Source organism: Homo sapiens, chromosome 7 (genome assembly GCF_000001405.40).
Source record: "Homo sapiens chromosome 7, GRCh38.p14 Primary Assembly".
Classification (NCBI taxonomy): Eukaryota; Metazoa; Chordata; class Mammalia; order Primates; family Hominidae; genus Homo; species Homo sapiens.
Window position 1 is genome coordinate 74,642,090 of NC_000007.14, and position 20,259 is coordinate 74,662,348.

The 20,259-nt window shown below is 49.5% G+C and overlaps 1 protein-coding gene across 6 annotated transcripts in view, besides 13 other annotated features; it reads left to right on the forward strand.

Moving 5' to 3' along the window:
* Positions 1,359-1,438: a silencer, noted in NCBI's record as "silent region_18283". NCBI's record gives its function as "represses an Ori minimal core promoter by ATAC-STARR-seq in GM12878 lymphoblastoid cells {active_cell/tissue: GM12878}" and the evidence as "EXISTENCE:reporter gene assay evidence [ECO:0000049][PMID:35858748]".
* Positions 1,659-1,718: a silencer, noted in NCBI's record as "silent region_18284". NCBI's record gives its function as "represses an Ori minimal core promoter by ATAC-STARR-seq in GM12878 lymphoblastoid cells {active_cell/tissue: GM12878}" and the evidence as "EXISTENCE:reporter gene assay evidence [ECO:0000049][PMID:35858748]".
* Positions 8,199-8,328: an enhancer, noted in NCBI's record as "active region_26166". NCBI's record gives its function as "activates an Ori minimal core promoter by ATAC-STARR-seq in GM12878 lymphoblastoid cells {active_cell/tissue: GM12878}" and the evidence as "EXISTENCE:reporter gene assay evidence [ECO:0000049][PMID:35858748]".
* Positions 15,179-15,338: a silencer, noted in NCBI's record as "silent region_18285". NCBI's record gives its function as "represses an Ori minimal core promoter by ATAC-STARR-seq in GM12878 lymphoblastoid cells {active_cell/tissue: GM12878}" and the evidence as "EXISTENCE:reporter gene assay evidence [ECO:0000049][PMID:35858748]".
* Positions 15,419-15,538: an enhancer, noted in NCBI's record as "active region_26167". NCBI's record gives its function as "activates an Ori minimal core promoter by ATAC-STARR-seq in GM12878 lymphoblastoid cells {active_cell/tissue: GM12878}" and the evidence as "EXISTENCE:reporter gene assay evidence [ECO:0000049][PMID:35858748]".
* Positions 15,559-15,608: an enhancer, noted in NCBI's record as "active region_26168". NCBI's record gives its function as "activates an Ori minimal core promoter by ATAC-STARR-seq in GM12878 lymphoblastoid cells {active_cell/tissue: GM12878}" and the evidence as "EXISTENCE:reporter gene assay evidence [ECO:0000049][PMID:35858748]".
* The window catches only part of GTF2I (general transcription factor IIi), a 102,975-nt gene continuing 98,344 nt past the window's right edge, over positions 15,629-20,259 (forward strand). For all 6 annotated transcript variants that reach the window (NM_032999.4, NM_033001.4, NM_001163636.3 and 3 more), the window contains exon 1: positions 15,629-15,979. The gene's annotated coding sequence lies outside the window, so the exon portion shown is untranslated. The remainder of the gene's footprint in view (positions 15,980-20,259) is intronic.
* Positions 15,709-15,888: a silencer, noted in NCBI's record as "silent region_18286". NCBI's record gives its function as "represses an Ori minimal core promoter by ATAC-STARR-seq in GM12878 lymphoblastoid cells {active_cell/tissue: GM12878}" and the evidence as "EXISTENCE:reporter gene assay evidence [ECO:0000049][PMID:35858748]".
* Positions 15,909-16,198: a silencer, noted in NCBI's record as "silent region_18287". NCBI's record gives its function as "represses an Ori minimal core promoter by ATAC-STARR-seq in GM12878 lymphoblastoid cells {active_cell/tissue: GM12878}" and the evidence as "EXISTENCE:reporter gene assay evidence [ECO:0000049][PMID:35858748]".
* Positions 16,269-16,788: a silencer, noted in NCBI's record as "silent region_18288". NCBI's record gives its function as "represses an Ori minimal core promoter by ATAC-STARR-seq in GM12878 lymphoblastoid cells {active_cell/tissue: GM12878}" and the evidence as "EXISTENCE:reporter gene assay evidence [ECO:0000049][PMID:35858748]".
* Positions 17,559-17,788: an enhancer, noted in NCBI's record as "active region_26169". NCBI's record gives its function as "activates an Ori minimal core promoter by ATAC-STARR-seq in GM12878 lymphoblastoid cells {active_cell/tissue: GM12878}" and the evidence as "EXISTENCE:reporter gene assay evidence [ECO:0000049][PMID:35858748]".
* Positions 18,059-18,198: an enhancer, noted in NCBI's record as "active region_26170". NCBI's record gives its function as "activates an Ori minimal core promoter by ATAC-STARR-seq in GM12878 lymphoblastoid cells {active_cell/tissue: GM12878}" and the evidence as "EXISTENCE:reporter gene assay evidence [ECO:0000049][PMID:35858748]".
* Positions 19,087-19,729: an enhancer, noted in NCBI's record as "H3K27ac-H3K4me1 hESC enhancer chr7:74075507-74076155 (GRCh37/hg19 assembly coordinates)". NCBI's record gives its function as "activates a minimal SCP1, AML or CMV promoter by ChIP-STARR-seq in naive H9 embryonic stem cells {active_cell/tissue: H9 hESC(naive)}" and the evidence as "EXISTENCE:reporter gene assay evidence [ECO:0000049][PMID:30033119]".
* Positions 19,123-19,402: an enhancer, noted in NCBI's record as "active region_26171". NCBI's record gives its function as "activates an Ori minimal core promoter by ATAC-STARR-seq in GM12878 lymphoblastoid cells {active_cell/tissue: GM12878}" and the evidence as "EXISTENCE:reporter gene assay evidence [ECO:0000049][PMID:35858748]".

A 20,259-nucleotide genomic window follows, 5' to 3' on the forward strand; every position in this document is an offset into this window, starting at 1 on the left:
GGTTCCTCAAAAAGTTAAATATAAAATTACCATGCGAGGCTGGGCACAGTGACTCACGCCTGTAATCCCAGAACTTTGAAAGGCCGAGGTGGGAGGATTGCTTGAGGTCAGGAGCTTGAGACCAGCTTAGCCAACATAGTAAAATCCCGTCTCTACTAAAAATACAAAAATTAGCCAGGCGTGGTGGGACTGTAGGTGGGACTACAGTCCCAGCTACTTGGGAGGTTGAGGCACTGCACTGCAGCCTGGGTGACAGAGTGAGAGAGACTTTGTCTCAAAAAAAAAAAAGAAAAAAGAAAAAGAAAAATGTCATGTGAGGCTGGGCATGGTGGCTCACGCCTGTAATCCCAGCACTTTGGGAGGCTGAAGTCGGAGGATTGCTTGAGGCCAGGATATCAAGACCAGTCTGGGCAACATAGTAAGACCCCATCTCAATTTTTTTTTTTTTTTTGAGACAGAGTCTCACTCTGGAGTACAGTGGCGTGATCTCGGCTCACTGCAACCTCCACCTCCGGGTTCAAGCGATTCTCCTGTCTCAGCCTCTCAAATAGCTGGTATTACAGGTGTGCACCACCATGCCCGGCTAATTTCTGCATTTTTAGTAGAGACGGGGTTTTACTATGTTGGCCAGGCTAGAAAAATATTTTTTTAATTAAAAAAAAAAGAATTAGGGACCGGGCGCGGTGACTCACGCCTGTAATCCCAGCACTTTGGGAGGCCGAGGTGGGCGGATCATGAGGTCAGGAGCTCGAGACCAGCTTGGCCAACATGGTGAAATCCCATTGCTACTAAAAATACAAAAATTAGCTGGGCATGGTGGCTTGCACCTATAATCCCAGCTACTCAGGAGGCTGAGGCAAGAGAATCGCTTAAACCCTGGAGGCAGAGGTTGCAGTGAGCTGAGATCACGCCATTGCACTCCAGCGTGGGTGACAGAGCGAGACACCGTCTCAAAAAAAAAAAAAAGGTTAAAATGGCAAATTTCATGTCATGTATATTTTGCAAAAAGGAAAACAAATCCACACCAAACTGAGACTTTTTCTTCAACTAGTTAGAATGAGATTAAGTTAAAGGGAAACCTTTTCACGGTTTACTCCAGTGCCCTGTGGTTGCGCATGGAGGCAGGCTGGCTGGCTCAACACGACTGAGATCGGGATTACGGAGGTAACTCATGCTAACCAAGCTCCTACAGACTGAACTATAAAACTAGAGCACCTTTCCCCCATGCACAGTTTATAAGGGGAAACAGAATTGTCAGCTGGACTTAACAGAGCTTTCGTTCTAAGCTGTTTACGTTCTCTCCGTCTGCCAACTGCATGCATGGAAATCCCCATAGGGCGGCAGCTGCCCAGGGAAGGGATTGCATTAGGATTTAGCAATGTCATCGGTCCTGTCCCCCACCTCCTCATACTGGGGTACCCTCCCGAACACTCCCTTGCCCCACATACTTGTGGGATTTCAGAACCAGTGGGGAAGGGCACGGCTCTGAGTGCAGGGCGGAGGAGGACTTCCGCCACCTGGAAACCGAGGGCCTGGGGCTGCAGGGGAAGTGACCAGTGTCTGTGCTGCCAGGGAGCCCTGGGAGGTGGCCATTCAGAGGAGGGCAGCGGCGGGGGAAGGTGCCCACAGGCCACCAAAGGCCACAGCAGGCGCAAGGGCTTGGGGCCAGGAGGGACAGCCCTAAAGCCACCGTGAAAAGGATAGCCCTGGACAGCCAGGCTGACGCAGGAGAGAGAAAAAGATCTCGGTGTTGGAAGAGAGAGAGAGAGAGAGAGAGAGAGAGAGAGAGAGAGAGAGACACTAATTATTGGGGTGGGGAGGGCATTTCTCACTGTTGATTTTTAACACCGAAGACATTAAGAAAAAAAAAATTGTACTCCAGCCTGGGCAACAGAGTGAGACTCTGTCTCAAAAAACAGAAAAAGAAAAAAATTGGTAAGTTTCACTATGTAAAAATGAAACTTCAGTATAACGATACAAAAAAAGGCCGGGCACGGTGGCTCATGCCTGTAATCCCAGCACTTTGGGAGGCGGAGGTGGGAGGATCACCTGAGGTCAGGAGTTCGAGACCAACCTGGCCAACATGGTGAAACCCCGTTTCTACTAAAAAAAAATACAAAATTAGCTGGGCGTGGTGGCAGGCGCCTGTAATCCCAGCTACTCGGGAGGCTGAGGCAGGAGAATTGCTTGAACCCAAGAGGCAGAGTTTACAGTGAGCTGAGATCACGCCACTGCACTCTAGCCTGGACAACAGAACGAGACTCTGTCTCAAAAAAAAAAAGCCACAAAAAGTCAAAAGACAAACAGCTACACATAACAAACAAAAGGCTTTTTTAAAGATAGGGTCTTGTTCTATCACCCAGGCTGAGTGCAGTGGTGCAACCTCAGCTCACTGCAGCCTCTGCCTCCCAGGCTCAAGCGATTCTCCTGCCTCAGCCTCCCAAGTAGCTAGGATTACAGGCATGCACCATCACACCCAGCTAATATTCCTATTTTTAGTAGAGATGGGGTTTCACCAGGCTGGTCTCAAGCTCCTGACCTCAGGTGATCCACCCACCTCGGCCTCCCAAAGTTCTGGGATTATAGGTGTGAACCACTGCATTGGGCCTTTCTTTTTTCATGTATAAAGCGCTTATACAAGAGAGTAAGGGAAAAAAGCAAAAGACCTGGACTGGGCGCGGTGGCTCACGCCTGTAATCCCAGCACTTTGGGAGGCTGAGGTGGGTGGATCACCTGAGGTCGGGAATTCGAGAGCAGCCTGACCAACATGGAGAAACCCAGTCTCTAGTAAAAACACAAAATCAGCCAGGCGTGGTGGCACATGCCTGTAATCCCAGCTACTCGGGAGGCTGAGGCAGGAGAATTGCTTGAACCCAGGAGGCAGAGGTTGTGGTGAGCTGAGATCACACCATTGCACTCCAATGTGGGCGACAGAGCAAAACTCGGTCTCAAAAAACAAACAAACAAAAAAAGCAAAAGACCAAATTGTGAAATGCAAAAGACATCATGAATATTGTTCGCAGAAACAGAAATGCAAATGGTTAATAAAAATATAAAAAGATGCCCAACTTTGCTCACAATTAATGTACATGTCAGAATTGCTATAAAATGCTACTTTCCCCCAGAAATGGGAAGGTATGGAGGATATGGACATTCTCTTTTATTTTCTTTTTTTTTTAAGACAGAGCCTTGCTCTGTCACCTAGGCTGGAGTGCAACAGCATGATATTGACTCACTGCAAACTCTGCCTCCTGGGTTCAAGCAATTCTTCTGCCTCAGCCTCCCGAGTGGCTGGGATTACAGGCACCCACCAACACACCTGGCTGATTTTTGCATTTTTAGTAGAGACAAAGTTTCATCATGTTGGCCGGGCTGGTCTCTAACGCTTGACCTCGTGATCCGCCTGCCTCGGCCTCTCAAAGTGCTGGGATTACAGGTGTGAGCTACCGCGCTGGGCCGATATGGACATTTTCATACCCTGTTCATTGTACAGTGGTCCAATCTTTTTGGAAAGAAAATTGGCAATGTGTATCAAAATTTTAGGTGCACAGATCCTTTGATAATGTTGATGCTAAGAATTTGCTTTAAAGATATACTCATGGATGGCTGGGTGCGGTGGCTCACGCCTGTAATCCCCACACTTTGGGAGGCCGAGGCGGGCGGATCACGAGGTCAGGAGATTGAGACCAGCCTGGCTAACACAGTGAAACCCCGTCTCTACTAAAAATACAAAAACAAAATTAGCTGGGCGTGGTGGCAGGCACCTGTAGTCCCAGCTACTCGGGAGGCTGAGGCAGGAGAATGGAGTGAACCTGGGAGGCGGAGCTTGCAGTGAGCTGAGATCATGCCACTGCACTCGAGCCTGTGCAACAGAGCAAGACTCCCTCTCAAAAAAAAAAAAAAAAAGATATACTCATTGCCAGATGCCGTGGCTCACCCCTGTAATCCCAGCACTTTGGGAGGCTGAGGTGGAAGGATCACTTGAGCCCAGGAGTTTGAGACTAGCCTGGCCAACATGGCAAAACCCTATCTCTACGAAAATACAAAAATTAGCTGGGTGTGGTGGCGGATGCCTGTAATCTCAGCTACTCAAGAGGCTACGGCACAAGAATTGCTTGAACTCAGGAGGCAGAGGTTGCCATGAGCTGAGATTGTGCCACTGCACTCCAGACTGGGTGACACAGTGAGACTCCGTCTTAAAAAAAAAAAAAAAAGATATAAGAGAATGCCAAGCCAATTAACATTGCAAAAATATAAGAAACAACTTAGGCTGGGCGCGGTGGCTCACGCCTGTAATCCCAGCACTTTGGGAGGCCGAGACGGGCGGATCACGAGGTCAGGAGATCGAGACCATCCTGGCTAACACGGTGAAACCCCATCTCTACTAAAAATACAAAAATTAGCCGGGCGTGGTGGCGCGCTCCTGTAGTTCCAGCTACACGGGAGGCTAAGGCAGGAGAATGGTGTGAACCCGGAAGGCGGAGCTTGCAGTGAGTCGAGATCGCGCCACTGCACTCCAGCCTGGGCGACAGAGCGAAACTCCGTCTCAAAAAAAAAAAAAAAAAGAAAAAAAAAAAAAAGAAACAACTTAAATGTTCATCATTAGGGGACTGGTTAGAAAAATATGCATAGTATGATCTCATTTTTATACACATTAAAAGGATGTGTGTGTGCCAGTACAGGTTTTTGTTTGTTTGTTTCCTGAAAGGATGTCTTTGATTACAGGTACTAGAGGACTAAGAGAGTACACTCCCCCTTTTAAAAATCATATTCATGGCCCGGCGCGGTGGCTCACGCCTGTAATCCCAACACTTTGGGAGGCTGAGGCGGGCAGATGACCTGAGGTCAGGTGTTCGATATCAGCCTGGCCAACATGGTGAAGCCCCGTCTCTACTAAAAATAAAAAAATTAGCCGAGCCAGGTGGTGCATGCCTGTGATCCCAGCTAACTCGGGAGGCTGAGGCAAGAGAATCGTTTGAACCCGGGTAGCAGAGGTTGCAGTGAGCTGAGATCATGTCATTGCATTCCAGCCTGGGCAAGAACAGCAAAACTCAATCTCAAAAAAAAAAAAAAAAAAAAAAAAATCGTCCAGGCACAGTGGCTCAAGCCTGTAATCCCAGCACTTTGGGAGGCCCAGGCGGGCGGATCACGAGGTCAGGAGATCGAGACCATCCTGGCTAACACGGTGAAACCCCGTCTCCACTAAAAATATAAAAAAATTAGCCGGGCGTGGTGGCGGGCGCCTGTAGTCCCAGCTACTTGGGAGGCTGAGGCAGGAGAATGGCGTGAACCTGGGAGGCAGAGGTTGCAGTGGGCCGAGATCGCGCCTCTGCACTCTAGCCTGGGTGACAGAGTGAGACTCTGTCTTAAAAAAAAAAAAAAAATCACATTCATAGCTAGGCACGGTGGCTCATCCCTATAATCCCAGCACTTTGGGAGGCTGAGGTGGGCAGATCACTTGAGCCTAGGAGTTCCAGACCAGCCTGGGCAACATGGCAAGACCCTGTCTCTACAAAAAAATACAAAAATTAGCTGGGCGTGGTGGTGTGCACCTGTAGTCCCAGCTACTTAGGAGGCTGAGGTGGGAGGATCACTTGGGACCAAGAGATAGAGGCTACAGTGAGCAGTGATTGTACCCCTGCACTGTAGCCTGGGTAACAGAGCCAGACACTGTCTCAAAAAATAATAATAATAACAAATAGAAAAATTAAAATCATATTTATCTTACTTTGTTTTTTAAAAATTCATTCATCCTAGGATGGGTGCAGTGGCTCACGCCTGTAATCCCAGCACTTTGGGAGGCCGAGGTGGGAGGATCACCTGAGGTCAGGAGTTCGAGACCAGCCTGATCAACATGGAGAAGCCCTGTCTGTAATAAAAATACAACATTAGCCGGGCATGGTGGTGCATGCCTGTAATCCCAGCTACTTGGGAGGCTGAGGCAGGAGAATCACTTGATTCCGAGAGGTGGAGGTTGTGGTGAGCCGAGATTGCGCCATTGCACTCCAGCCTGGGCAACAAGAGCGAGACTCCGTCTTTAAAAAAAAAATTAGCCCAGTGTGGTGGTGCACACTTGTGGTCCTCGCTACTTGGTGGGGGTTGAGGCAGGAGAATTGCTTGATCCTGGGAGGTGGATGTTGCAATGAGCTGAGATCATGCAACTGCACTCCAGCTTGGGCGACAGAGTGAGACTTCGTCTCAAAATAAATAAATAATTAATTAATTAAAAAATCCACCCATCCTTTACTTTTCATTGCAAATGCTACTTTCTTTTTTCTTTTCTTTCTTTTTTTTGAGACAGAGTCTTGCTCTGTTGCCCAGGCTGGAGTGCAGTGGTGCTATCTCGGCTCACTACAAGCTCCGTCTCCTAGGTACACGCCATTCTCCTGCCTCAGCCTCCCAAGTAGCTGGGACTACAGGTGCCTGCCACCATGCCTGGCTAATTTTTTTGTATTTTTAGTAGAGACGGGTTTTCACCGTGTTAGCCAGGATGGTCTCCATCTGCTGACCTTGTGATCTGCCCGTCTCGGCCTCCCAAAGTGCTAGGATTACAGGCGTGAGCCACCGCACCTGGCTGCAAATGCTACTTTCTCCATGAAAAATTTTCTGCTTTGTGTCTAGCTTTCTTGTGCCATCTTGACACATTTACCTGAGTGTATATTGTATTTGATTCATTCGTCATATCTGCTTGAATCAGATGGTTATTGCTGGCGAATAGACAACAGTATTTAAGAATTCGGGCTTTGGATCCGAGCAGGTTTAGATCAAAATCTGGTTGTGCCATCTGTGTATCCCAGGCTGAGTACTGAGCCTTTCTGAGCCTCTTTAGCATGAGGGTGGAGGGGCATTCGGAGCACTTGCCACAAAGGCAGCAAGCAATGAGATAATCTATTAAGTGTCGAGCCTGGTGTGTGGCTCCAAGGACTGCTCAATACATGTCAGCCATAATCACATGTTTCTGGAGAGCACAGATGGTCTTGCAGGCTTTCCAGAATATAGTAGGTGTTCAGATTCTTTCTTGATACTCATTGGTGCCCCTCGCTTTCTTCCATTATCTCCGGGTCAGTCTGAGCTCATCTGGGATTGGAAAACACAGCAGGCTGGTATGAATGAAGTCAGCCTACAGCCCCAGGTACAAGCCAGAGTGTGGTCAGCCCCCTCTCTAGGTTTAGCGGGAAGGGAATGGATAATTAACACTTTCTCACTGCTGGGAAAACAATGAAAAGTACTTGATAGTGGGTTAATTTCTTTTTCTTTTTTCTTTTTTTCATACAGAGTTTCACTCTGTCCCCCAGGCTGGAGTGCAGTGGCGTGATCTCAGCTCACTGCAACCTCCACCTCCCAGGTTTAGGCAATTCTCCTGCCTCAGCCTCCCAAGTAACTGGGATTACAGGCACCTGCCACCATGCCCGGCGAATTATTGTATTTTTGGTAAAGACAGGGTTTCACCATGTTGGCCAGGCTGCTCTTGAACTCCTGACCTCAGATGATCCATCCGCCTCGGCCTCCCAAAGTGCTGGGATTACAGGTGTGAACCACCGCGCCTGGCCAGATGGTGGGTTAATTTCACTTTTGAACAGCATCATTCTGATTGGCTTTTCCTCCTCCTTCCAACCCACTGTTCAAAAATTCCCTTTATTATTTGATGAAAACTTTCCCAAGTGGGTCATCTACCTTAAGTGTAATAAACACCAGGTCTTGAAGGGGTTAAAAAAGGTTGCTATGATTCACCAGAAAAAGAGGAAAGGCTTGGTAAATGAAATGCTAAAGAATCAAGAAACTGGTAGTTAGGTCCACGGTGGAAACAAAAAGAGAAAAGGAAGGATGCAGGTATTTGTTGTCAGCATTTAACCTAGATTTTTCTTCTCTTGATTTTATGACTATGTTGCAAAGCTATAGGTTGTCTATATTTTATATATATATATATATATATATATATATATGGAATTGTTCTAACATCTATAACAATATACCGTAATAAAAGTTATGTGACTGTGGTCTGTCTCTGCCTCTCTCTCAAAAATATCTTCTTGTACTGAACTCAGCTATTTTTGGACCGCGGTTGACCGTGGGTAACTGAAACTGCAGAAAGCGAAACTGCAGATAAGAGGGGGAACTACGGTAGACGCCACCCACCCGTTAGTCACTTGGGAGCCGTCTGGGTTATCAGATCAACTGTCTGCAAGTATTGCATTGTTTGTGTTCAAATCACCCTTATTTTCCATCATAATGGCCCCAAAGCACAAGAGTAGTGATGCTGGGAATTTGGATAGGCCAAAGAGAAGCCGTAAAGTGCTTCCTCTAAGTGAAAAGGTGAAAGTTCTCGACTTAATCAGGAAAGACAAAAAATCCTATGCTGAGGTTGCTAAGATCTACGGGAAGAATGAATCTTCCATCCGTGAAATTGTGAAGAAGGAAAAAGAAATTCGTGCTAGTTTTGCTGTCTCACCTCCAACTGCTAAAGTGACGGCCACAGTGCGTGATAAGTGCTTAGTTAAGATGGAACAGGCACTGCATTTGTGGGTGGAAGAGATGAACAGAAAACGTGTCCCCATTGACAGCAACATGTTGCGCCAGAAAGCCTTGAGCCTATACCAAGACTTCAGCAAGGGATGCTCTGAAACTGACACCAAGCCATTTACTGCGAGTAAGGGATGGTTACACAGATTCAGGCATAGATTCTCACATCATTACAAGAAGAAGAAGGGTGAGTACAGTACAAGTTATTTTGAGAAAGAGGAGAGAGAGAGAGAGATGGATCACATTCGCCTAACTTAGTACTTGCTATACTTGTTCTATTTTGTTATCATTGTTGTTAATTTCTTCCTGTGCCTAATTGGATTTGGTATTATCCAAGGTTTCAGGCATCCACTAGCCATCTTGGAATGTGTCCCCCACAGATAAGAGGGGACTACTGTATTCGCTCTCTCTCTCTCTCTCTTTTTTAACTTTTATTTTAGGTTCATGGGTACATATGCAGGTTTGTTATATAGGTAAACTTGTGTCACCAGCGTTTGTTGTATAGATTATTTTGCCACCTGGGTACTAAGCCTATCTAATAGTTATTTTTTTTCTGCTCCTCATCCTTCTCCCACTGAGGCAGGCGGATCACCTGAGGTTGGGAGCTCGAGATCAGCCTGACCAACACGGAGAAACCCCGTCTCTACTAAAAATACAAAATTAGCCGGGTATGGTGGCGCATGCCTGTAATCCCAGCTACTTGGTACGCTGAGGCAGGAGAATCGCTTGAACCCGGGAGGCAAAGGTTGCGGTGAGCTGAGATCACGCCATTGCACTCCAGCCTGGGCAACAAGAGCGAAACTCTGTCTCAAAAAAAGAAAGAAAGAAAGAAAAGAAACATGGACTTTTTTCATATTAAAAAAAGTTTTGAATGCTAAATAATACCATCTAATATTTATATAACACGTACCCAAGTTGATAAAGTATTTTCATCTACATATCATCTGATTTCCCCAAATCCCTGGAGGAGGCAGAGAAAATACTATGGAGGTTTTATTTTTAACAACTTAAATTTAGAGCTTTATATTTAAAAACTTAAATTTTAAAACTTCAAAAAACAACTACAATGTTAACATAATCCTAAATAGCAGATAAAATTCATCTAAATCCTGCTACCCCAACAAAGAAAACTGTTTATTTCAACTGGTGCTACATGAATATTCGTTTTACTGTGTCGGCCAGATGCTCACACAAAAGGCAGAGCTGGAGCTGGAAGGTCTATTTAGATCACACCTACATTATTAATTGTTATGAATAAATTATAACTTGGATTTAGTCTTTTTTCCCCACCTTTGGATGAATTCTAAGAACCATACATACTGGAAAAGGTCGTCATTTATTCAGGATTCTAAATATTCAAATTATTCAAACAAAAAACCATTCAAAAACAGTGTTTTATAATCAGTATTAAAAAATATCATTGTGGTTGGATGTGTTGGCTCATGCCTGTAATCCCAGCACTTTGCGAGGCTGAGGCAGGCAGATTACAAGGTCAGGAGTTTGAGACCAGCCTGACCAACATGGTAGAATCCCGTCTCTACCAAAAATACAGAAATTAGCCGGGCGTGGTGGTGCTCGCCTGTAATCCTAGCTACTCAGGAGGCTGAGGCAGGAGAATCGCTTGAACATGGGAGACGGAGGTTGCAGTGAGCCGAGATCACGCCACTGCTCTCCAGCATGGGATACAGAGTGAAACTCTGTCTTAAAAGAAAACAAACAAAAGAAAAAGTGGCTGGGCACGGTGGCTCATGCCTGTAATCCCAACACTTTGGGAGGCCGAGGTGGGCGGATCATGAGGTCAGGAGTTCGAGACCAGCCTGACCAACATAGTGAAACCCTGTCTCTACTAAAAATACAAAAATTAGCTGGGCCTGGTGGCACGCACCTGTAATCCCAGCTACTCAGGAGGCTGAGACAGGAGAATTGCTTGAACCCGGGAGGCGGAGGTTGCAGGAGCCGAGATCGCGCCATTGCACTCCAGCCTGGGCAACTGGAGTGAGAGACCTTGTCTCAAAACAAAAAGCAGAAAACAAAAAAACAGAGTATCTGAACTTTCACCAGAATTATGGTTTTGGGCAATCTGGTCTGGGCGCAGTGGCTGAAAGTGCAATGGCAGCACTTTGGGAGTCCGAGGTGGAAGGATCACCTGGGCTTAGGAGTTTGAGACCAGCCTGGCCAACATGACCAACATGGTGAAACCTCGTCTCTACTAAAAATCCAAAAATTAGCCGGGTGTGGTGGTGTGCACCTATAATCCCGGCTACTCAAGGGCCTGGGGCAGGAGAATCGCTTGAACCTGGGAGGTGGAGGTTGCAGTGAGCTGAGCTTGTGCCACTGCACTCCAACCTGTGTGACAGAGTGAGACTCCATCAAAAATAATAATAATAATAATAAATAAATATAATATAATATATGAGAGACGGTGGGTGCAGGTGCTCTCGCCTGTAATCATAGCACTTTGGAAGGCTGAGGCAGGAGGATTGCTTGAAGCCAGGAGTTTGGAACCAGCCCGGTCAACATAGCAAGACTCCATCTCTACCAAAAAAAAAATGATATAACAGAGTCACCAAAAGAGTATTCAGTTTGGATTCAAAAAAACATCTTTAAAAAGAGCATATGATCCCAACAACAGAGATCTCAACAAAGTGGCATAACCACCGTTCTGTCACCGTGGGCTTTCAGGGGTTCCTATGCAGGGTCCCATGATCACGTGCTATTTCTTTTTTCTTTTCTTTTCTTTTTTGTTTTGAGATGGAGTCTCGCTCTGTCTCCCAGGTTGGAGTGCAGTGGCGCGATATCGGCTCACTACAACCTCCGCCTCCCGGGTTCAAGCAGTTCTCTGCCTCAGCCTCCCGAGTAGCTGGCATTACAGGCGCCTGCCACCACGCCCGGCTAATTTTTTGTATTTTTAGTAGAGACAGGTTTCACCATCTTGAGACGGAGTCTCGCTCTTTTGCCCAGACTGGAGTGCAATGGCGCGATCTCAGCTCACTGCAACCTCTGCCTCCCCGGTTCAAGCGATTCTACTGCCTCAGCCTCCCGAGTAGCTGGGATTACAGGCACATGCCACCATGCTCGGCTAATTTTTTTTGTATTTTTAGTATCGATGGGGTTTCACCATGTTGGCCAGGCTGGTCTCAAACTCCTGACCTCGTGATCCTCCCACTTCGGCCTCCCAAACTGCTGGGATTACAGGCATGAGCCACCGCGCCAATCACATGCTATTTCAAAGCAGTCAACGAAGCTCTAAGCCCAGAGTCTAAGCGAAGATGCATCTGAGTTGGTGGAAGTGCTCACGTGGGGTCCAGATCCATCTCTAGCTTGGCCAAGGCCCATTTGACCTGGCTTTGTTTCCCACCAAACAGAAGAATGGAAAAGTCACATCATATGGACGCTTATCTGAAGACTAAGCTAAACATTAACAAAAAGAGAGGGGGAAATAATTGAAATAACATGGATGGTTCTGCCAGCTGTTGGACTCTGTACTTATGTCCTGACTGACCATGAGCTGAGAGCCGCAAATCTGCTCTTGCTGAAGCCCCAATCCAGTCTGCATCTCTTGGTATATGCATCCTGTGATTCTAGTATTTTTTTTTTTTTTTTTGAGACGGAGTTTCGCTCTTGTTGTCCATGCTGGAGTGCAATGGCATGATCTCGGCTCACAACAACCTTTCCCTCCCAGGTTCAAGCGATTCTCCTGCCTCAGCCTCCTGAGTAGCTGGGATTACAGGCATGCGCCACCACGCCCGGCTAATTTTATATTTTTAGAAGAGATGTGGTTTCTCCATGTTGCTGAGGCTGGTCTCGAACTCCTAACCTCAGGTGATCTGCCTGCCTCGGCCTTCTAAAGTGCTGGGATTACAGGCATGAGCCACTGTGCCCAGCCCGATTCTAGTCTTTAAAGGAGGATTTCCTGGCTGGGTGCAGTGGTTTACGCCTGTAATCTCAGCACCTTGGGGGGCTGAGGCAGGCAGATCACTTGAGGTCAGGAATTTGAGACCAGACAGACCAACATGGTGAAACCCTGTCTCTACTAAAAATCCAAAAATTAGCCGGGCATGGTGGTGCATACCTGTAATCCCAGCTACTCGGGAGGCTGAGGCAGCAGAATCGCTTGAGCCCAGGAGTTGGAGGTTGCAGTGAGCCAAGATCGCACCATGCACTCCAGCCTGGGCACCGGAGTAAGACCCCGTCCCCTCCCAAAAAAATCAATAAATAAAATAAAGGAGGACTTCCTACTACATCATTTTTAGACACAAATCAACTATTATTTTTCTTCTGTTGCCCAATCCCCAAAACAGTAATCTGATCCTACATTTGAAAAAAAACCTGGGCCCAGTGCAGTGCCTCATGCCTGTAATCGCAGCACTTTGGAGGCCACGGCAGGAGGCTTATTTGAGCCCAAGAAGTCAAGACCAGCCTGGGCAACATAGTGAGACCCGTCTCTACAAAAAACGAAATTAGCTGGGTGTGGTGGCACATACATGTTGTCCCAGGCATTTGGGAGGCTAAGGTGGGAGGATGGCTTGAATCTGGAGTTGGAGGCTGCAGTGAGCTGTGATCGAACCACTGCAGTGCAGCCTGGGTGATACAGTAAGACCCTGTCTCAAAAACAGGAAAAAAAAAAAGTAAAACAAAACCCCAGCTTTGCAGAGAGATAGTATCCAAAGTGATTTATAACAATGGCCACAATTAATGTAGTATCTATGCCACTAAGATGAAGGAGAAATTGGTTGACAAGTGTTCCAACAAGCCGCAGTGAGCCAGACCTTAATGAAGACAGAACACGCAAGATCTTTATGACTGTAACACATGAATTTGAGGGTTACAAACCTTAATGGCAAAATGCTCAGAAAAACGCTTTGTCTGCATACACATTGCCTCAACAGAGACAGCTTTCTGACTAGAGGTAATTCAAAACCAGCTCATGTTGACCTAACCGTTTTAGGAATTGCTTCAGTCTCAAAGAAGTTGGAGTTGTTTATGAAGAGGCAGCAAAATTCCACTGTGGGCCCGGTGCGGTGCTCACGCCTGTAATCTCAGCACTTTGGGAGGCTGAGGAAGGCAGATCACTTGAGGTCAGGAGTTCGAGAACAGTCTGGGCAACATGTTTAGTAGAAACCCGTCTCTACTAAAAATACAAAAATTAGCTGGGCGTGGTAGTGCACGCCTATAATCCTAGCTACTCAGGAAGCTGAGGCAGGAGAATCACTTGAACCCGGGAGGTAGACGTTGCCGTGAGCCGAGATCGCGCCACTGCACTCCAGCGTGGGTGACGGAGCGAGGCTCGGTCTCAAAAAAAAAATTCCACTGTGAACCACTAAACAAATTCATAGAAGAAAGGAACTACCTTCCAAACGTTTTCACGATGATAAGAGTCATCTTGGCTAAATAAACTTCTGCCTTGCTAACTCACTTTGTAACATCCCCCCAAATTCTACTCCACGACTCCACTATACCCAGGAAATCCTTTCCCTGACCCCTCCAGGTGGAGAAACCACTCTCTCAACAAAAGATACTCACTGAAGTCCACAGCAGCTGAAATCTGCATCTCGTAGGCTGGCTGCTCTTACTAGAGTGAGTTATAGGCTTCTCAAGAGTTAAATTTGTTCCTAAATATATGCCAGTGGCACGTGGTATTGGGAATAGAGAATTTAATTAAATATTACTAAATGTCAATGAAATACAAGTGCAAAAAGAAAGTTGCTCTTGTGCAAACTTAATGAATGACTTTCGAGACAATCGACAAAGGAGAGTCACAATCTTATTAGGCAAGGACCGAAGGGATCCTAGACATTGTCCGGGAAATCGCAAAAATTCAGGCTTCTGTAATCAGATTGCTTCTCCGGTGAGCTTTACGCTCTCCATGTATTTTTCAAAAAAAATCCAACATGAAAATTCTAGAGGAGGCTTTATTGGGTGCGGTCTGTGCAAGAGAGACGATGGGGAATGCCAATCGGAGAACCCAGATTGAAAGGAAAGGTTTTTGGAACCCACATCAAAAGACTGGCTGCTCGGAAAGTTTTCTCGCTAGCGACAAAGGCTTGGAGGCTGGAAAAAGCGTCGTGGTCGCCACCTACCGAGAAGCGGCGGGTGGGGGGAGGATGGCCGTCGTGGCCCGAATCCCCAGTGGGTGGTACTGGGTGGGGGGGCGGGCGGGAATCAAAAAACCACTCAATCTCGTGCTTTACATAAACATCTAAAAATCGTCGGCCTCGGGGTTGTAAAGTTTTGGAGTTTAACTTAGGTGAACAGTAATGTCTCTCCATTTTCAAAACCCACCGGCTAATTCAAGTTGAGAAGCAAAAAATAGTGGTAGGGGGAGGAGTTTGAGTTAAATCGCATCGCGGTTGACAGAACAAAACAGGAGCTACGAGTCAGGATTTCTGCTCCCACTCCCTTGCAAGTTTCCTTCCAAATCCTGAGGGAGAGATAGAGGCGGAGGGTCTGGGGGAGGAATTAAAACACAAGGTCTCCTCCCCTCTCGCCTGTCCGAACTTGGGGGCAACGGTCTCTTTGGAGGCCAGCTTGGAAAACACTAGAGAGGAGTTCTTTGTGTCCTGGAGGGTGGTGCAAGGCGGAAGGACTCCCCTTTTGCAGAGCAAGGAGGGCGACGGCCCAGCCCGGGGCTCCCCGGCTTTTGCAGCTTCCCTGCCTCGCAATTTGCAAGGAATGTGGGGTGCAAGAGCAAGTGGCGGACTTGGACGGCGGCTGGCGCTCGGTGGGGACGACGCCGGAGCCACCACCCGTCCAGATTTCCGTTTCTGCACCCCGGCTCCCCTCCCCCACCCGGGCGGCCGCGCAGGCCCCAGGTGCAGCCATGTTCTCGCTCCCACCACCCTCGCCTCCATTGACAGCCCTTGCTGGAGAGGGCCGGGCGCCGCGCTTGCCTCGTCCTCGGGTTCGGGGCTAGCCGGCGCGGTGCTTCCTGGGAGTTGTAGTCCACGACCGCCGCCGCCGCGTTGACGGGGAACGCATCCGAAACTACAACTCCCGCTGGGCGGCGCTGCGGATGCGCAGGCGCAACGCGCCTTCGAGGAACAAAAAAAAAAAAAAAAAAAAAAAAAAAGAAAAAAAAGAAAAAAAAAAGGAGGAGGAGGAGGAGGGTGAGAGAGAAGCTGGGAGAGCAGAGAAAAGGGGCCACCGGTCGCCCCCCCGCTTCCCCGCACGCGCTCTCCAGCCGCGGCCGCCCGCCTGCCGCGGTCACCCCGGCCTCTGCCTCTGTCCCCCAGTGATCGGATCAAGGCGCTGAGCGAGGCCCTGCCTGCGGGGCGGCCATGCGGCGGTGACAGGAGCGCGACCGACACGCACGGGCCCCTCGCCCCCTCTCGCCTCCCGTCCGCTCGCCAGCTCCCCTCAGCCGAGGCTGCTCCGCGGCGGCCGCAGCCCGCGCGCGGCCCACACTCGCCTCCCCTCGGCACCCCCGGCCCCGGAGCTGCCTGGAGGCGGCCGCACTCGGGTGAGTCCCTCTCGCCTCATCCCCGCGCCCCCCGCCCCCGCCTCGGGGGCCATTGCGAGCGGGGGCCTTTATTAGAGACTTTGCCCCGCCGGGGCCTGCAGGGACAGGGGCCTGGGAGCCGCGGCCCGCCGCGCGCGGTGTGGGGCCTTGGGGGGCGCCCGTGCCGCCTCCCCCTACCCCCACCCCCACCGCCTCGCCGGGTCTCGAGCCCCGCCGGCCTTGGCAGTGGCCGAAACGAGGCGATGGGGGTGGGGCGGCACGGACGCGGTCGCGGGGGACGACAGTGGCACGCGCGCGCCTCAGTGCGCGTGGGGGAGGGGCGCGCGCGCCGACCGGCGTGCGGTGGGGGGGCGCCTCGCGCGTGCGATCCCGCGCGCGAGCGAGCGAGCGGCCCTGCGGGCTGCGCATGCCCCGCCGCGCTGATTGGCCGGCTAGGCGGTGCGGGGGCGCGCGCGGTGCCAGGCCCGAGCCGTCGTGGGGTCGCGCTCGCCTGGTGTATCTGGGGCTCCTGCGCCGGGGCAGCAGACGCGCGGGATTGGCCAACCGGCGCGGGGGCGGGGCCGCGCGTTGCCTGGTAACTGCGGCGGGCGGGGGAGCGGGAGCGCTGTCCCCCGCCCCGCCCCGCTCCCAGGTGGAGTCCGCAGTGGGCTTTGTCCCGGGCCGGCCCGGCGCGCCTGCCCCGCGGGGCCTGTTCTTTGGGGGAAATAAACACAATGACCGGAAGGAAAACTTCAGCTTTAGGCCATGAAAATTAAGCCGTCTGGGTTCAGCCAGCACCCAGACGACGGGAGTGCAGAGGAAGAAGGAAAATGAAATGGAAAAAGCTGTCTCCTTCCCGCTCCCCGACTTCTCCACTTTTTCTTAATCCAGCTTTTGCTTTTTCGTGTAGCGAATTTTGTCCTCCCTAGGTTATGGATTTGCGCTGATTTGCGGCTGGGGATGTTCACAGGTGGGGTGCTGTTGGAGTAGTGTCCACTCTTGGCGATGCGCAGCTCTTGCTGACTACTGACCTCCTTTTTTTAAAAAAAATTATTTGTGGAGATGCGTTCTCACTTTGTTGCCCAGGCTGGTCTTGAACTCCTAGGCTCAAGCGATCCTCCCACCTTGGCCCCCCATAGTGCTGGGATTACAGGTGTGAGCCATCGCTTTCGGCTTAATTTTCTTTTTTTTTTTTAGAAACAGGGTCTCTCTGTGTTGCCCTGGCTGAAGCGCAGAGTGGCACAATCATAGCACATTGCAGCCTCCAACACCTGGGCTCCAGCGATCCTCCTGCCTCAGCCTCCTCAGTGGCTGGGACTACAGGCGCATGCCATCATGCCCTGCTAATTTTTTTTTTTTTGAGATGGAGTCTCACTCTGTGGCCCAGGCTGAAGTGCACTGGTGTGATCTCGGCTCACTGCAACCTCTGCCTCCCGGGTTCAAGCCGTTCTCCTGCCTCAGCCTCCTGAGTAGCTGGGATTACAGGCGTGCCCACCACGCCCGGCTAATTTTTGTATTTTTAGTAGAGATGGCGTTTCACCATGTTGGCCAGGCTGGTCTCCAACTCTTGAATCAAGCTGAAAGCAATCGGCCCGCCTCGGCCTGCCACCAAAGTGCTGGGATTACAGGCGTGAGCCACCGCCCTGGGTCACGCCTGGCTAATTTAAAATTTTTTTTTAGAGATGGGGTCTTCTTGTGTTGCCTAGGCTGGTCGGGAACTCCTGGACTCTGGTGATCCTCCCGTTTAGGCCTCCCAAAGTGGTGGGAGTACAGGCTTGAGCCACCACGCTGGGCCTCATCTCTTTTAAATTCAACTTTGCCGCAGACAATGGCTTGATCAGCCAACAGTGCAGAGGAGAAGTCTCCAGTCCTTCAGGGAACAAAAGGGGAAGTTAGTTTGCAAATGAGAACGTGCAGGTAGAGTGCCCTGCGGAGGCGGGGTCTTCTCCCCAGGCTGAGGCCTGTGGTGTGGGATGACCGATTTTATTTCCTGCTACAGGATTTTTCTGTGGCTGCTACCTTGGCTTTCGTTTCTCCTCCTCCTTGAGATCTTGGTCTTTTGGCTGGAATGACATTTTTCAGCCTATGGAAATCTTTCTTGCTCATATGCAGCCACTTCCTTAAGGTCTTCTCTTTTTTTTTTTTTTTTGCTGCTGTTGTTGAGAGGGTTTCGTTCTATCCCCCCAGGCTGGAGTGCAGTGGCGCGATCTTCGCTCACTGCAACCTCCACCTCCCGGGTTCAAGCGATTTTCCTGCCTCAGTCTCCCCCGAGTAGCTGGGATTACAGGCGCCTGCCCCCAAGCCCCGCTAATATTTGTATTTTTAATAGAGACGGTGTTTCGCCATGTTTGTCAGGCTGGTCTTGAACTCCTGACTTCAGGTGATCCGCCTGCCTCGGTCTCCGAAAGTGCTGGGATTACAGGCGTGAGCCACCGCTCCCGGCCTGTGGTCTTCTCTTATATTGCATAGTCAGAGTTTGTTCCTTCTTAGTCTCCCAATCAACTTGTGTGCCCTTCCTCGCAGGGCACCTTTATTTTCTCTCTTTTTTTTCCTTTTCCTTTTTCTTTTCTTTTCTTTTTTTTTTTTTTTCGGAAGCGGAGTTTCGCTCTCGTTGCCCAGGCTGGAGTGCAGTGGCGCGATCTCGGCTCACTGCAACCTCCGCCTCCCGGGTTCAAGCGATTCTCCTGCTTCAGACTCCTGAGTAGCTGGGATTACAGGAGCGCTCCACCACGCCCGGCTAAGGGCACTTTTACTTTCCTCTGCATCTGGCCTAGTCACTGGGTGTTGAGCTCGTAGGGGCAGGGACAAGAAGCCTTTTCCTCCTATGTCTTTCTCCCTCCACTTCCCCCTCCAGTTTGGCATCGTCCTCGTGCCTTGCCGGTGGTAGCAATGCTGCTTACATTTGAGTGTCTTCCGTGCCCCCTCCATGGCTCTTGAGCGCTTTGGATGTACAGTATTTTTCTTATTTAATCTTTGTGACAAGTCTGTAATTCTATTCTATAGAGCGGAACAAGTCTAGAGAAGTTGGAGAGTTCTGTACTCTTGCTTGCCTAGCACATGAACCTGGCCAGTGTGACTCAACCCCTAAGCCGAGGTTGTGAAACCACCGCGCCTGGGCGTCCCCGGGAGAGCTGGCATGTGCGGACTCTGCTTGCTGGGCCCTACCTCCCAGGCTGATTCTGCAGGTCTGGGGAGTTGCCCCACAATTTGCATTTCGATTAGCTCCCCAGGTGGTGTTGATGGTGGCTGCTTCCCGGACAGCCCTTTGAGAACCATTCACAATGGTGCAAAATGAAGGGAGAGAAATTTATTGGAGATATTTGCTTTTTCTTACTTTAAAATTAGATCTTGGCCGGGTGCGGTGGCTCACACCTGTAATCCCAGCACTTTGGGAGGCCGAGGGAGGTGGAACACCTGAAGTCAGGAGTTGGAGACCAGCCTGCCGACATGGCGAAACCCCGTCTGTACTAAAAATACAAAAATTAGCCGGGTGTGGTGGCGTGCGTACGTAGTTTCAGCTACTTGGGGAGGCTGAGGCAGGGGGATCTCTTGAACCCAGGAGGTGGAGGTTGCAGTGAGATGAGATCTCACCACTGCACTCCAGCCTGGGCGACAGAGCGAGACTGTGTCTCAAAAAAAATAAAAATAAAATAGATGTTAAAGAATGAAAAATAATTCGGACGACTGACGGTAGATTGCTCAGAAAACTGGCTGAGAGTTGAGAATTCCTGTTAGCCATGATTAGAAAAGTTAAAAGTTTCATAAGTCTCCAGTTTAAAAAGGGGCCATGGATTTAAGTGTGGAATAAAATGGGAAATCTTTGGAAGTTTGGCTTTTTTCCCACTCTGATTTATTTATTAATTTAGTCGCAGCACGGGCATTTGTTACATTATCCTCTTCAGATGCCCAAAGTCTGCCACACCACCACACAGAAGGTTTGAGTGATAGGACCACAGCTTGTAGTTTTGGCCCTTGGAGGTAGGGGGGTTGGGGAGCATTGTGTGCTGAGTCTCCTCTGCCACATGCCCCTCCAGCGATTCAGCTTACTCAAATATGACTACAGAGACTGACATTAAAATGTAGGCTTTGGGGGTTCTTTTTGCGGGACGGGGTTGGGGGCAATTCTTGCTGAGAAAGATTTTTAGGTTTTTTCTTTCTTTTTTTTTTTTTTTTTTTTTTTTTTTGATGGAGTTTCACTCTGTCGCCCAGGCTGGAGTGCAATGGCACAATCAGCTCACTGCAACTTACGCCCCCCCAGGGTCAAGTGATTCTCCTGCCTCAGCCTCCGGAGTAGCTGGGAT